The sequence below is a fragment of the Homo sapiens genome, chromosome 4 (assembly GCF_000001405.40).
Source record: "Homo sapiens chromosome 4, GRCh38.p14 Primary Assembly".
Lineage (NCBI taxonomy): Eukaryota > Metazoa > Chordata > Mammalia > Primates > Hominidae > Homo > Homo sapiens.
In genome coordinates, this window is record NC_000004.12 from 134,166,866 (window position 1) to 134,183,805 (window position 16,940).

The 16,940-nt window shown below is 35.5% G+C and overlaps 1 protein-coding gene across 10 annotated transcripts in view; it reads right to left on the minus strand.

Annotated features, from left to right (window-relative positions):
* Nucleotides 1–16,940, minus strand: part of PABPC4L (poly(A) binding protein cytoplasmic 4 like) — a 253,443-nt gene that overhangs the window by 218,407 nt on the left and 18,096 nt on the right. The gene's annotated exons all lie outside the window — the stretch shown is intronic.

A 16,940-nucleotide genomic window follows, 5' to 3' on the forward strand; every position in this document is an offset into this window, starting at 1 on the left:
CTTTCTTCTTTTCCTTAAATATATTGGATTCTTACCTAACCCATACCATTCTTCTCTTTGCTTCAAGCACCCTTCAATCATCTGTCCTGTCTAACTTCTTTCACCTGGCTAAACTCTATTTGGCTTTCTGTTCTTGGCTTAAGTGTTTCTTTTTCAAAGATGTCCCTTTTGACCATTCCTATCCTAAAAAGTAATCCAATTGAATGAGAGAACACAGAGGATGTTTAGGACACTGAAACTGCTCTGTGTGACACTGTAGTGCTAGATACATGGTATTATACATTTGTCCCAAGCCACAGAATGTACAACACCAAGAGTGAACCCTAATGCTAACTATGGACTGTGTGTGTTAATGATGTATTATGACAGGTTCATTCATTGCAACAAATATGCCACTCTAGTGGGGATATTGATACTGGGGGAGCCTGTGTGCATGTGTGGTAGCAGGGAGTATTTGGGAAATCTCTGTACCTTCATCTCAGTTTTGCTGTGATCCTAATACTGCTCTGAAAAATAAAGTCTATTATAATAAAATAGAAAACAAAGCAATAATAATAATAATAAATAAATAATAATATGGCATGTAAGTGATCAAAATTCTCCAATACAAATACATAGAGTGGCTGAATGGTTAAAAGAAAAACAGGACTCAAGTATATGCTGTGTATAAGAAACTCAATTCACTTATAAGGACACATAATAGAGTTACAATAAACAAATGGAAAACTATATTTCATGCAAAGGAAAATCTAAAAAGAGCAGGAATAGCTATACTTATATCACAAGAAATAGACTTCAAGACAAAAATCTGTAAAAAGAGACAAAGAAAAATAATTATATAATAATAAAGGGGTCAACTCACTAAGAGTATGTAACAATTGTAAATATATATGCACTCAATACTGGAGCACCCAGATATATAAAACAAATATTATCTGAGGTAAAGAGAGAGATAGGCCCCAATACAGTAATAGTTGAGAACTTCAACACTGTACTTTCAGCATTGGATATATCATCTAGACAGAAAATAAACAACAAAACAGAAGACTTATTCTGTACTATAGAACAAATTGATTTAATAGACACTTATAGAACATTTCATATAACAGCAGCCAACTTCACATTCTTCTCCTCAGCACATGAAACATTCTCAAAGATAGTATATGTGTTAGGCCACAAAACAAGTCCTGTAAATTTCAAAATAATTACCTTTTCTGACAAAAGTGGAATAAAACTAGAAATCAATAACAAGAGGAAATTTGAAAACTATGTAGACACATGTAAATTAAACAACATTCTCTTGACTGAGCATTGGGACAATAAAGAAATTAAGAAGAAAACTTTTTAAAATATTGAAACAAATAAAAATAAAAACACAGCATGCCCAAATCTATGGGATACAGAAAAAGCAGTAATAAAAGGAATGTTTATAGCAATAAATGCCTACATGAAAATAGTAGAAAAACTTTAAATAACTAATGATGCATCTTAAAGAAGTAGAACAGCAAGAGCAAACCAAACCTCAAATTAGTAGAAGAGAAATAGTAACAATGAGAACAGAAATAAATGAAATTGAGACAAAAAATACAAAAAAATTGCAAATGAAAGAAAAAGTTGGTTTCTTGAAAAGATAAACAAAATTAACAAACATTTTGGTCTGAGTAACTACGAAAAAAAGAGAGAATACCCAAATAAATAAAATCAAAGAGAAAAAGAAGGCATTACAAATGATACCACAGAAATTTAAAAGGATCATTAAAAACTATTATGAGCAACTATATGCCAATAAATTAAAAAACTTAGAAGAAATGTGTAAATTCCTAGACACATAAAACCTACCAAGATTGAACCATAAAAAAATCAGAAACCTGAATAGACTGATAACAAACAAGATAGAACCAATAATAAAAAATATTCTATCAAAGAAAATCCCAGGATCTGATGATTTCTCAGCTGAATTTTAACAAACACTAAAAGATGAAATAAAATCAATCCTACTCAAAAACTATTCCAAAAAGTTGAGAATGAGGGAATACTCTCAAACTCATTTCATAAACTCAAACTCATTTCATCATGCAAGACCAGTATTGCCCTGATGTCAAAATCCAACAAAGATAAAACAGCAGCAACAAACTGTTGTTGGTTTGGTGATCAATATCACCAATCAACATATATGCAGAAACCTTCAACAAAATACTAGCAAACTGAATTCAACAACTATTCAAAAGACCATTAACCATAAAAGGTGGGATTCTTCCCGTAAATGCAAGGATGAGTCAACATATGCAAATTGAAAACTGTGAGAGATCACATCAAAAGAATAAAGAGTAAAATACATATGGTCATTTCTACTGATGCTGATAAAACTTTTGATAAAGTCTACATCTCTTTATGATAAAAACTCTCAACAAACTGGGTGTAGAAGGAACAAATCTCAAAAATCTAAAAATCCATATAAGACAAACCCACGAATATTATCATACTGAAAAACTGAAAGCCTTTCCTCTAAGTTCTGGAACCCAACAAAGATACTCAATTTCATCACTGTTATTCAAAAGAGTACTATAATTCCTAGCTAGAGCAATCAGACAAGAGAAATAAATAAAAGGCATCCAAATTAGAAAGAAGTCAAATTATCCCAGTTTGCTGCTGATATAATCTTATATTTAGAGAAACCTCAAGACTCCATCAAAAAAGACTTAGAACTAATAAACAAATTCAGTAAAATTGCAGGATACAAAATCAACCAACAAAAACCAGTAGCACTGCAATATGTCAACAGCAAACAATCTGAAAAAGAAAAAAAAATTCCATTTATAATAGCAAAAGATAAAATAAAATACCTGGGAATATACTTGGCCAAATAAGTGAAAGCTCTCTACATTTAAAACTATGAGTCATTGATGAAAGAAATTGAAGAGGACAAAAAAAGTAAAGACATTCTATGGTCATGGATAGGAAAAATAAAAATTGTTTTGTTATTATCTTATGCATTTTACTTTTTAATTTTTTTTAACTTTTAATTTAGGTTCAGGACTAAATATGCAAGTGTGTTACATAAGGAAATTGCATGTCACCCGTGTTTGGTATACAAATAATCTTGTTACTAAGGTAATAAGCACAGTAACTGTAGTAACTGATAGGTAGTTTTTCTATTTTCTTTCTCCTTCCACACTCCACACTCAAGTAGACCTGTGTCTGTTTTTCCCAAGTAGAACTGTGTCCATGTGAACTCAACATTTAGCTCCCACTTATAAGTGAGAACATGTGGTATTCGGTTTTCTGTTCCTGCATTACTTGGCTTGGTATAATTGTATACCATTGTATAATACTTGCAGCTCCCTCTATACTGCTGCAAAGGACATGATCTCATTATTTTTTACAGCTGTGTAGTATTCCATAATGTATACATACCACATTTCCTTTCTCCAGTCTACTATTCATGGACATTTTTGTTGATTCCATGTATTTAGTTTTTATGAATAGTATGGAATTAACATAGGTGTACATGTGTCTTTATGATAGAATGTATCAGTCCATTCTTGCACTGCTATAAAGAAATACCCAAGACTGCATAATTTATAAAGAAAATAGGTTTAATTGCCTCACGGTACCATAGGCTGTACAGGAAGCATGATGCTGGCATCTGCTCAGGTTCTGGTGTGATCTCAGGAAATTTAAAATCATAGCAGAAGGTGAAGGGGGAGCAAGGTGCCTCACATGGTGGAAACAGGAGCCAGATACAATGAGGGAGGAGGTGCTGCACACATTTAAACAACTAGATCTTGTAAGAACTCACTATCATGAGAACAGCACCAAGAGGATGACAATAGACCAATCATGAGAAATCCATTACCATGATCCAAGAACCTCCCACCGGGTCCCACCTCCAACACTAGGGACTACAATTCAACATGAGACTTAGTGGGAACACAGATTCAGACAATATCATAGAATGATTTCTATTCCTTTGGGTATATACCCAATAAGCGGATTGCTGGATCAAATGGTACTTCTCTTTTAAGTGCTTTGAGATATCACCACACTGCTTTCCCCAATTGCTGAAATAATTTGCATTTCCCCCAGCAGTGTATAAGTGTTCCCTTTTATTTGCAACCTTGCCAGCATTTGTTATTTTTTGACTTCTTAATAATACTTATTCTGATTGGTGTGAGACGGTATCTCATTGTGGTTTGGAATTCCATTTGCATTTCTACTAATGATTAATGATGGTGAGCATTTTTTCATATGTTTTTGGCCACTTGTATGCACTCTTTTTTGGCTCTGTCAGCAAGGCTGCAGTACAGTGGCACAATCTCAGCTCACTGCAACCTCCACCTCCCAGGTTCAAGCAATTATGCTGCCTCAGCCTCCCAAGTAGCTGAGATTACAGGTGCATGCCATCACACTTGACAAATTTTTGTATTTTTAGTAGATATGGGGTTTCACCATGTTGGCCAGGTTGGTCTCGAACTCCTAACCTTGTGATCCACTTGCCTCGGCCTCCCAAAGTACTGGGATTACAAGCATGAGCCACCACGCCTGGCCATATGCATTACTGTGAAAAGTGACTGTTCATGTACTTTGCCCACTTTTAAATGGGGCTGTTTTTTGCTAGATACTGTGTTTAAGTTCCTTAGAGATTCCGGATCCTAGCTGTTTGTCAGGTGCATAGTTTGCAAACCAACAGCCAACATCATACTAAATGGGCAAAAGCTGGAAGCATTCCCCTTAGAAGTAAAACAAGACAAGGTCGCCCACTGTCATGATTCCTATTCAATACAGTACTATAAGTCCTAGCCAGAGCAATCAGGCAAAGAAATGAAAGGCATCTAAATAGGAGGAGAGGAAGTAAAACTGTCTTTGTTTGCAGATTATGTGATGCTATACCTAGAAAAACCCATAGTCTCTGTTGAAAAGGTCCAAGATCTAATAAAGAACTTCAGCAAAGTTTCAAGATACAAAGTCAATGTACAAAAATCAGTAGCATTTCTATATACCAACAACATCCAAGCTGACAGACAAATCAGAAAGACAATCCCATTCACAATATAGCCACAAAAACAATAAAATACCTAGGAATACACCTAACAGGGGCATGAAATATCTCTACAATGAGAATTACAAACCAGTGCTCAAAAAAATCAAAGATGACATGAACAGATGAAAAAAAACATTCCATGCTCATGGATAGGAAAAATCAATATTGTTATAATGGCCATATTACCCAAAGTAATTTACATATCAGTGCTATTCCTATAAAACTACCAATTACATTATTCACAGAATTAGAAAAAAGTATTCTAAAATTCACATGGAACCAAAAAAAACTCACATAGCCAAGGCAATTCTAAGCAAAAAGTACAAAGTTGGAGACAGCACGTCACCCAATTTCAAACTATACTACAAGCCTATGGTAACCAAAACAGCATGGTACTGGTACAAAAACAGACATATAGACTACTAAAACAGCATAGAGAGCCCAGAAATAAATCCAAACCCCTACAAACATGTGATCTTTGACAAAGTTGACCAACTAGCAATGGGGAAAGGACTATTCAATAAATGATGCTAGGATAACTGCCTAGCCATATGCAGAAGATTGAACCTTGACTGCTTCCTTACACCATATGCAAAAATCAGTTCACAATAGATAAAAGGCTTAAATGTAAAACCTAAAACTATATAAATTCTTGGAGATAATCTAGAAAATACCATTCTGGACATAAGTCCTGGCAAAGATTTCATGATGAAGATGCCAAAAACAATTGCAACGACAACAAAAAACTGGCAAATGGGACCTAATTAAGCTAAAAAGCTTCTGCACAGTAAAAAAAACTATCTATATCGTTTAAAAGTCAGTACTATTCAATGAAATCTGCAGATCCAATGCAATCTCCATCAAAATACCAATAATATCCTTCACAGAAATATAAAAAATATTAAAATATATATGGAATTACAGAGCAAAATAGAACAAAGCTTCAGGCATCACATTACCTGACTTCAAATTATAGTACAAAAATGGATAAAAGGTATGAGCAGACATTTCTTAAAAGAAGACAAACAAATGACCAACAGTTTTATGAAAAAATGTTCAACATCATTAATCATTAGATAGATGCATATAAAAACTACAAGGAGATGTCATCTCACCCAGTTAAAACAGCTTTTATCAAAAAGACAGGCAATAACAAATGCTGATGAGGATGTGGAGAAAGAGAAACTCTTGTACACTGGTGATGAAAATTTAAATTAGAAGAGCTACTATGGAGAACACTGTGGAGATTCCTCAAAAAAAAAAAAAAAAAAAAAGAAACTGAAAATAGAACTACCATACGATCCAGCAAACCCACTGGTGGGCATATATCCAAAAGAAAGGAAATCTGTATATCAAAGAGATATTTGCACTGCCATGTTTGTAACAGTACTATTCACAATAGCCAAAATACAGAATCAACCTAAGTATCCATCAGTTAATAAATGGGTTTAAAAAGTGGCACATATACACATTATAATCACAAAAATGAAATCCTGTCATTTTCAATAACATGAATAGAACTGGAGGACATTAAGTTAAGTAAGACAGGCACAAAGAGACAAATATCACATGTTCTCACTCATATGTGGGAAATAAAAAATACTGAACTCATGGAGATAGAAAATAGAATGATGGTTACCAGAGGCTGGGAATGGTAGTTGGCAGGGAGGATGAAGAGTGGATGGTAAATGGGTACAAAAATACAGTTAGATAGAAGAAATATGATCCAGTGTTTTGTAGCAAAATAAGACAACTATAGTTAACAATTTATTGTACATTTCAAAAAAACTAAAAGAGTGAAATTGGAATGTTTGTAACACAAAGAAATGATAAGTGCTTGAGGTGATTGATGCATAAGCCAATTACCCTGATCTGAACATTACACATTTTATGCTTGTATCAAAATATCACATGTACCCCATAAATATTGATAATGATTGTATATCCATAGTAATTAAAAATAAAATGTTTTTATAAAATTTAACCTGATGGTACTGTAACTTTTTTACTTTTAAACTTTTAAATTTGTTAACTTTTGTGCTCTTTGGTAATAACAGCTTAAAACACAAACACATTGTACAGAATATTTAGTACAGCTGTACAAAAATATTTTCTTTCTTTATATCCTTATTCAATAAGCTTCTTTCTTTTTAAAAACATTTTATTTTTCTTTTACTATTTAATTTTTTTTTGTTAAAATCTGTGACATCAACACACATTTTCCTAGGCCTACACGTGGTCAGTATCATTAACATCAACATGTTCCACTTCCATATCTCATCTCATATCTCATCAAATATATGGAGCTATCATCTCCTATCATAATGTCTACTTCTGAAATAACTCCTGAAGGAATTGCGCTGGGCTGTTTTTACAGTTACCTTTAAAAAAAAATAGTAAGTAGAAGTATATCCCAAATGAATAATAAATAGTATAGTAAGTTCATAAACCAGTAACATATTTATTATCAAGTATTAGATACTGTACATAATTGTATGTGCTATACTTTTACACCACTGCCAGGACAGTAGGTGTGTTTACATCAGCATCACCAAAGACAGATGAGTAAGCCTTGTGCTATGACCGCTATAACCATGTTATGACTGCTACAATGACACCAGGTGATAGTAATTTTTCAGCTTTATTAGAATCTTATGGGACCACCATTGTACATGTGATATAACACTGATCAAAACATAATTATGTGGCACATGACTGTATATGTATTTATGTTTGTATTTGTGTGCATGCATGTGTGTATATATGTTTATATGTGTCTGCGGTTTTTCCCTTTTGGCATTATCTACGTAAGTATTCATTATTGTTCTCCTTTTTGTTTAAACTTCATTTCTATATATTTTTTCCTTTTAGAGTTCATTTATTTCTAAGATGACCAGAAATTTTTTATATCACCTTGTCTAATTTTATTTACAGATTTTTCTAAATTTGATTGATGTTGTTTTTATAATTTCTCTCATTTTCTCTAAATCTTTAGCGGGTTTTGAAATAGTAGGGTAAATTTTTCATGTTTCCTACGTCTGTCCTTTAAGTATGGTTTCATTGTAAGAATGCAATCCTATTTATTATTTTATGGCCATGTGTTTAATACTTGGCCACATCACATACATAGGGAACTACCTATACCTTCATTCAGAACAGAATTGAGGGAGCAAGAGGTAAGATCAGATCTTCAGAACATAGTAAAACATGACAGTGATAGTTTTTATAATTCCACGCATATCCATGTCCTTTTAAGGACAAAATATAAGTACCCGCGAAAAGTAGCTTTGAGTATCTTAACAGATATAAAAAGTATGAAATCTGAAAAGCATGAAATCAAATTTGTTTGAAGAGTTGTGAGATGTCTACAGAAATAAGAATAAATAATTAAAATGTGAATTACATGTGTGCTATGTCAGCCTCTGTAGATTTAAGCTGTTATTGTTTTGGTTTGTTTTATTATGATGCCACCCAAATGATCTGACCTTTTTTTAATAATTTAATTTAATTTATTTTTTAAATTAATTAATTAATTAATCAATCAATTAATTAATTAATTTGAGACAGGGTCTCGCTCTGTCGCCCAGGCTGAATTGCAGTGGCACAATCTCGGCTCACTGCAACCTCCGCCTCCTGAGTTCAAGCGATTCTCCTGCCTCAGCCTCCTGAGTAGCTGGGATTACAGGCATGTGCCATCACGTCTGGCTAATTTTTGTATTTTTAGTAGAGATGGGGTTTTGCCATGTTGCCCAGGCTTCTCTTGAATTCCTGGCCTCATGTGATTCACCCGCCTTGGCTTCCCAAAGTGCTGGGATTACAGGTGTGAGTCACTGTGCCTGGTCTGATCTGACAGTTTTAAAAGAAGCAATTAATAAAATGGATTTCCTTAAACAATTTGAAAACAGGAGACTAATCCTAGGCTGCAGAGTAATAGGCAATTGAAAATACCTGCAAGAGCATATAACAAATAGAAGAAAAAAAATTGAATAGAAAACTGCAAATGTAAAATAGTCTTGTCTTAACTGCAGACTCTTTCCAAGTAAATTCAGATTCCTGAAAAGAATATAAAGCTTTTACAAAGATGTTTAAGCTAAGGATAAATTTCTACGACTATTTTGGAAAGAAACTATACATAATGAATGGTGACCTAGAATCTTCAGCTAATCTCATGGTCACAGTTTGAAGAGGTAAATCAGAAAGAAAATAACATCTTGCATAAACTATTTCTTTAACATTAAAGTTAATTATTCTCTTAAATACATGTTAAATGTCAGCATATTAGAAACTGTGAAGGTATTAAATTTTTATTCATGATATAATTAATAGAAAACTCAAGTTATATTAATAGATAAATGATTATAAGCTATATTATTATTTATATCATTTATAGAAATAAGTTATGTCTACCTGCTCAAAAGATAAAGATGTTGGATAATTGGTTGTTGTGTTAAAGTAAATGTAGGGCCAGGTGTGGTGGCTTATCCCCGTAATCCCAGCCCTCTGAGAGGATTGCTTGAGCGCAGGAGTTGGAGACCAGCCTCGGCAAAACAGTGAGACCCTGCCTCTTCAAATAATAATAATGATAATAACAATAATAATAAGCAAATGTAGAAACACTTAAAAATAATCAGATTTAGGGTGAGGCCAAGATGGCAGACTAGAAGCAGCACATGTGTGCCTCTCTCATGGAGAGGAAACAAAAAGGCTAGTGAACACTAACCCAACAGGCCGATCATCTGAAAAACCACGTCGGGATCCATCAAGGCAGCAGGGGGACACAGAACAGAGGGGAGAAAAGCTGGGTGCTAGCATGTTTGGGCTCAACACGAAGCCAGGAGAACCTCTCTGACATAGGAAAGGGTAAGTAAGGGTGCCCAGGGTGATTCATGCTCTCCACAGGGACCTGTGTAAGACTGGGAATAAGAGAATCCCCCTGGCGCCCCCATACCCCCACTGCACTTCTAAACTGAGGCAAAGAGCCACCTGGATGTTTTGCAGGGGCAACTCACAAGTCCAAGGAAACTTTACAAGCCTTGAGCCCTGCAGCAGACCTATACTGGTGGCCACAACCCCAATAGAGTCACCAATTGTGGTGACTTGGAGCAGTGAGATTGTTGCACCGCCCTTTCCGGATAGGGCTTGGTGGCAGCTTCCAGCCCAGTGGTCCTGCTTAGGCCCAAACTTGCCTGCCCACTCCTGCCACACCCCCACCACTGATAACTACATGGACAACCCCTGCTAGAGCTTCTATCCCAGCCATCCCTTTTTTCTTTTCTTTTCTTTTTTTTTTTTTTTTAGACGTAGTCTAGCTGTCACCAGGCTGGAGTGCAGTGGCAGGATCTTGGCTCACTGCAGCCTCCACCTCCTGGGTTCAATTCTCCTGCTTTGGCCTCCCAACAGCTGGGACTACAGGTGCATGCCACCATGCCCAACTAATTTTTGTATTTTTAGTAGAGACGGGGTTTCACCATATTGGCCAGGATAGTCTTGATCTCTTGAACTTGCGATCCGCCCACCTCGGCCTCCAAAAGTGCTGGGATTACAGGCATGAGCCACCGTGCCCAACCCAGCAGTCCCACTTCTGTGTGAACTCAGTTGGAGGGCACATCTTCCTGTTGTCTCAGAAAACACCCAGACAACAGAGTTGGTGACCACACCGGCCCTCACTACTGGTAACCAGGCAGGCAATGCTTGCTAGAGCTTCTAGCCCGCAGTTCCACTTCTATGTGAACTCATCTGGTAAGCACAACTTCTATGTGAACTCATCTGGTAAGCACATCTTTATATTGTCCCCTAGGAAACATCCAGATGTCAGAGCACATGACACCACCTGGCCCTACCAGAGGTAACCAGGTAGGCAGGCCTGCCACAGCCTCTAGCATGGTGCTCCTGGTTCTGCATGAACTCAGCTGATGAATGCAGCCTCCTGTTGTCCCAGGAAACACCCAGAGTGCAGGGCTCATGACCCCACCCTCCCCCACCATTAATAGCCAAGCAGGCAACACTTGCTAGAATTTCCAGCCTAGCAACCCTGATTCTGTGTAAACTCAGCTAGAAGGCACAGTTTCCTGTGTCTCAGGAAAGGCCTAGACAGCAAGGCAGGCATCCCCACCCATCCCTATTTCTGGTAGCCAGGAAAGCCATGCCTGCTAGAGCTTCCAGCCCAGTGGTCCTACTTCTACCTACTTCTGTCTGAGGGCAGGCACAACCTTGTATTTCCCCAGGAGGCATACATATAGCAGATTAGGGCTGACCTCACAAGGATATAGCTTGTTCGCTAACTCAGGCCCCTGCCTGTGAGAACTCACGAAGCAGAACACCCCACATAAGAAATGTGGGCATGGAGAGTTAGTGGAGGAGGTTCCTCCAAGACCAGGAATGAACTAGAATTGAAGTGAGTAAACCAAACACACCATATACCATAATTAACCCCTCAAGGGTATTAAAAAAGAAAAAAGCAAAAAAAAAAAAAAAAAAAAAATCCCCACAAGGACAGTAACTTCAAGGCTGAACAAACATCAGCCCACACAAATGAGAAAAAACCCAGCACAACAACTCTGGCAACTCAAAAAGCCAGAGTGTTTTTTTACCTCCAAATGATTGCACTCGTTCACCAGCAATGGTTCTTAACCAAGCTGAAATGGCTAAAATGTCAGAAATAGAATTCAGAATAAGAACAGGAATGAAAATCATCAACTTACAGGAGATAGTTGAAACCCAAACCAAGAAATCTAAGGATTACAATAAAACAATACAGGAGTTGAAAAATCAAATGGTCATTATAAGAAAGTACTAAACAGTTCTGAAAGAGCTGAAAAATACACTAGAAAAATTTTATAAAACAGTCTCAAGTATTAACAGCAGTATCAACTGAGTTGAGAAAAGAATTTCAGAGCTTGAAAACTGATCCTTTGAAATAACTCAGAAAGACAAAAATGAAGAAAAAACAATAAAGACTGAATAAAACATCTGAGGAAAAAAATGGGATTATGTAAAAACACCAAATTTATGACTCACTGGCATCCCTGAGAGAGAGGAAGAGAACTAAGCAACTTAAAACACATATTTCAGGATACTGTCCATGAAAATTTTCCCAACCTCACCAGAGAGGCCAACATTCAAATATTGAGGAAATACAGAGAATCCCTCAAAATACTAAATAAGAAGACAATCCTCAAGTCACATAGTCATTAGATTTTCAAAGGTCAAAATGAAAGAAAAAATGTTAAAGAGCACTAGAAAGAAGGGGCAGGTCACATACAAAGGAAATCCCATCGGGCAAACAGCAGACCTGTCAACAGAAACTCTATGAGCCAGATAAAACTGGGGGCCAATATTCAGCATTCTTAAAAGAAAAAAAAATTTCAACCAAGAATTTCATATCCAGCCAAGTAAAGAAGAAATAAGATCCTTTTCAGATAAGTAAATGCTAAGGGAATTCATTGCCAGCAGATCTGCCTTACAAGAGATCCTGAAGGGAGTGCTAAATATGGAAAAGAAAGACCTTTACTGCCCACTACAAAAACACACTTAAGTACATAGACCAGTGACACTGTAAAACAGCCACACAAAGAAGTCTGCATAATATCCAGCTAACAACATGATGACAGAATCAAATTCACACATATCAATGGTAACTTTGAATGTAAATGAGCTAAATGCCACAATTGAAAGGCAAAGAGTGGCAAGCTGGATAAAAATGGGAAACCAAACAGCATGTTGCCTTCAGTAGCACCATCTCACATGCAATGACACCTATAGGCTCAAAGTAAAGGGATAGAAAAAAATCTAGCAAGTGAATGCAAAACATAAAGAGGCAGGGGCTGCTATTCTAATTGGTTTAAAGATACTTTAAATCAACAAAAATCAAAAAAGGCAAAAAAAAATGCATTACCTAATGGTAAAGGCCTTGATTCAACAAGAGGACTTAACTATCCTGCACATATACACACCTAACACAGGAGCACCCAGATTCATAACACAAGTTACGAAGACCTATTAAGATACTTAGATAACCACACAATAACTGTGGGATACTTTAACACATTATTGACAGGATTAGACAGTATTAGACAGATCATCAAGGCAGAAAACTAACAAAGGTATTTGTGACCTGAACTCCACACCAGACAAAATGGTTCTAATACACATCAACAGGACTCTTCATCCAAAAACAGAATATACACTATTATCATTGCCACATGGCACATACTGTAAAATTGTCCACAGAATTGGGCATAAAACAATCCTCAGCAAATTCATAAAAAACAAAATCATACCAACCAGGATCTCATACCACAGTGCAATAAAATAGAAATCAATGCTAAGAAAATCACTCAATACAATAATATGGAAACTTAAAAACTTGGCTTTTGAATGACTTTTGGGTAAATAATGAAATAAAGGCAGAATTCAAAGAATTATTTGAAATTAATCAGAAAAAAAAATACAACACACCAGAATCTCTAGTACAAAGCCAAAGTAGTTTTAAGAGGGAAGTTTATAGCACTAAACACCAACATTAAAAAGTTAGACAGATCTCAAATTGACAACCTAATATCACAATTAGAGAAACAAGAGCAAACCAACTCCAAGACTAGCAGAAGACAAGAAATAACCAAAGTTAGAGCTGACCAGAGGAAACTGAGATGCAAAAAATCATACAAGAGATCAGTGAATCTAGGAGCTGATTCTTTCAAAATATTAATGATAGATAGACCTCTAGCTAGACTAATAAAGGAGAAAAAGAGAGATGATCCAAATAAATACAAGCAGAAAAGACAAAGAGGATGTACAGTTGACCTTACAGAAACACAAAAAAACCCTCAGAGATTATTATAAAAACCTCTGTGTACACAAGCTAGAAAATTTAGAGAAAATGGATAAATTCCTGGAAACATACAGCCTCCCAAGTTTGAACCGGTAAGATATTGAATCCTTGAACAGATCAATAATAAGTTCCAGAATAGGATCAGTAATAAAATGCCTACCAACCAGAAAAAGTTCAGGGCCAGAATAATCCATAACCCACTTCTACGAGATAAATAAAGGAGAGGTGGTAACATTCCTACTGAAACTATTCCAAAAAATTGAGGAGGTGAGAATCCTCCCTAACTCTACGAGGTCAGCATCATTCTGATACAAAACTTGGCAGAGACATAACAAAATAACAGAAGTTCAATATTCCTCATGAACATAAGTGCAAAAATCCTCAATAAAACACAAGCAAACCAAATTTAGTAGCAATTCAAAAAGTTAATCCACAAGGATCAGTTAGGCTTTATCCCAGTGATGCAAAGTTGGTTCAACATATGCAAATCAATAAATGTACTTCACCACATAAACAGAACTAAAAGCAAAAACCACATAACCATCTCAACAGATGTAGAAAAGGCTTTCAATAAAATTTAATATCCCTTTATGTTAAATACCCCCAACAGACTAGGCATTAAAGGGACATACCTCAAAACAGTAAGAGCCATCTATGATAAACCCATTGCTAACATCATACTGAATGGCAAAAGCTGGATGCATTCCCCTTGAAAACTGGAACAAAACAAGGTTGCCCTTTCTCACCACTCCTACTCAACATAGTGCTAGATATCTTAGCCAAAGTAATCAGGCAAGACTAAGAAACAAAAGGCATCCAAATAGGAAGAGAAAAAGACAAACTATCCCTGTAATTCATACAATATGTTTCTATACCTAGAAAACACCATAGTCTCTGCCCCAAAGCTCCTAGATATGATAAACTACTTCAGCAAAGTTTCAGGATACAAAATCAATATATAAAAATCAGTAGCATTCATATACAACAGAAACATCCAAGCTGAGAGCCAAATCAGGAACAAAATTCCATTCACAATTGCCACAAAAAGAATAAAATACCTAGGAATACAGCTAACCGGCAAGGTAAAATATCTCTACAACGAGAATTACAAGATGCTACTTAAATAAAACACAGATAACACAAACAAATGGAAAAACATTCCATGCTCATAGATAGGAAGTATCAATATTGTTAAAATGCCCAAAGCAATTGACATATTCAATGCTATACACATCAAACTACTAAAGACATTCTTCACAGAAGTAAAAAAAAAAAACAAAAATTAAAAAACTCCCAAAGCAATTTGCATATTCTGTGCTATACATATCAAACTACCAAAGACATTCTTCATAGAACTAAAAAAACAAAAACAAAAAAACTATCTAAAAATTCACATTAAACTATAAAAGAGCCTTAATAAAAGCCTAAGTAAAAAGAAAAAAGCTGAAAGCATCACATTGCCCAACTTCAAACTATACTACAAGGCTATAGTAACCAAAACAGCATGACACTGGTACAAAAACAGACACATAGACCAGTGGAACATAATAGAGAGCCCAGAAATAATACCACACACTTACAACCATCTGATCTTCAACAAAATTAAGCAAGAGGGAAGGGACTCTATTATATAAATGGTGCTGGGATAACTGTCTAGTCATATGCAGAAGATTGAAACTGGACCCTTTCCTTACGTCATATACAAAAATCAACTCAAGATGGATTAAGGACTTATATGTAAAGCCCAAAACTATAAAAACCCTGGAAAATAACCTAGGAAGTACCATTCTGGACATAGGACCTAGCAAAAATTTCATTATCAACACACCAAAAGCAATTGCAACAAAAACAAAAATTGACAAATGGGATGTAATTAAACTAAAGAGTTTTTGCACAGGAAAAGAAACTATCAACAGAATAACAGACAAGACAACCCACAGAATAGGAGAAAATATTTGCAAACTACTAATCCAACAGAGGTCTAATATCCAGAATCTATAAATAATGTAAACAAATTTACAAGCAAAAACTAAACAACCCCATTAAAAGATGGGCAAAGGACATAAAGAGACACTGTTCAAAAAAAGACATACACATGGCCAACAAGCATATAGGAAAATGCTCAACATCACTAATCTTTAGGGAAATTCAAATCAAAACCACAATGAGAAAGCATCTTATACCAGTGAAAATGAGTATTATTAAAAAGTCACAAAATAACAGATGTTTGTGAGGCTGTGGAGAAAAGGGAACACTTATGCACTGCTTGTGGGAATGTAAATTAGTTCAGCTATGTGGAAAGCAGTATGGGAATTTCTCAAAGAACCTAAAACAGAATTACCATTCAACCCAGCAATCCCATTATTGGGTATATACCCAAATGAATATAAATTATTCTAACACAAAGACAATAGCATGCAAATGTTCACTGCAGCACTATTCATGATAGCAAAGACATGGAATCCACCCAAATGCTCATCAATGGTAGAGTGGATAAAAGAAAATATGGTACCTATACACAATGGAATACTATGCAGCCATAAAAAAGAATGAGATCATGTCCTCTGTTGCAACATAGATGGAGCTGGAGGCCATTATCCTAAGTGAAGTAAAGCATAAACAGAAAACCGGATATCGTACGTTCTCACTTATAAGTGGGAAATAAACTTTGAGTACATATGGACACAAAGAAGGGAACAACAGACACGGGGGCCTACTTGAAGGTGGAGGGTGGGAGGAGGAAGAGGGTAAAAAAAAAAACTACCAATAAGGTACCATGCTTATTACCTGGGTGACAAAATAATCTGAACACCAAACCCCTGAGACACAAAATTTACCTATATATGTACCTATACATGCACACCTGGAAGTTACCTGCAAATGTACACCAAAACTTAAAATAAAAGTTAGAAGTAAATGTGTTTCCATATATTTGTTAAAAACAGGAATTAGTATTAAGTGTTTTATAGAAACTTAGAAATATCATGCATCTAAGAATAAAACTAATAAAGATATGCAAGAATTCTACACAAAATCTATAAAATATTGTTGAAAAAGAAGAAGACCAAT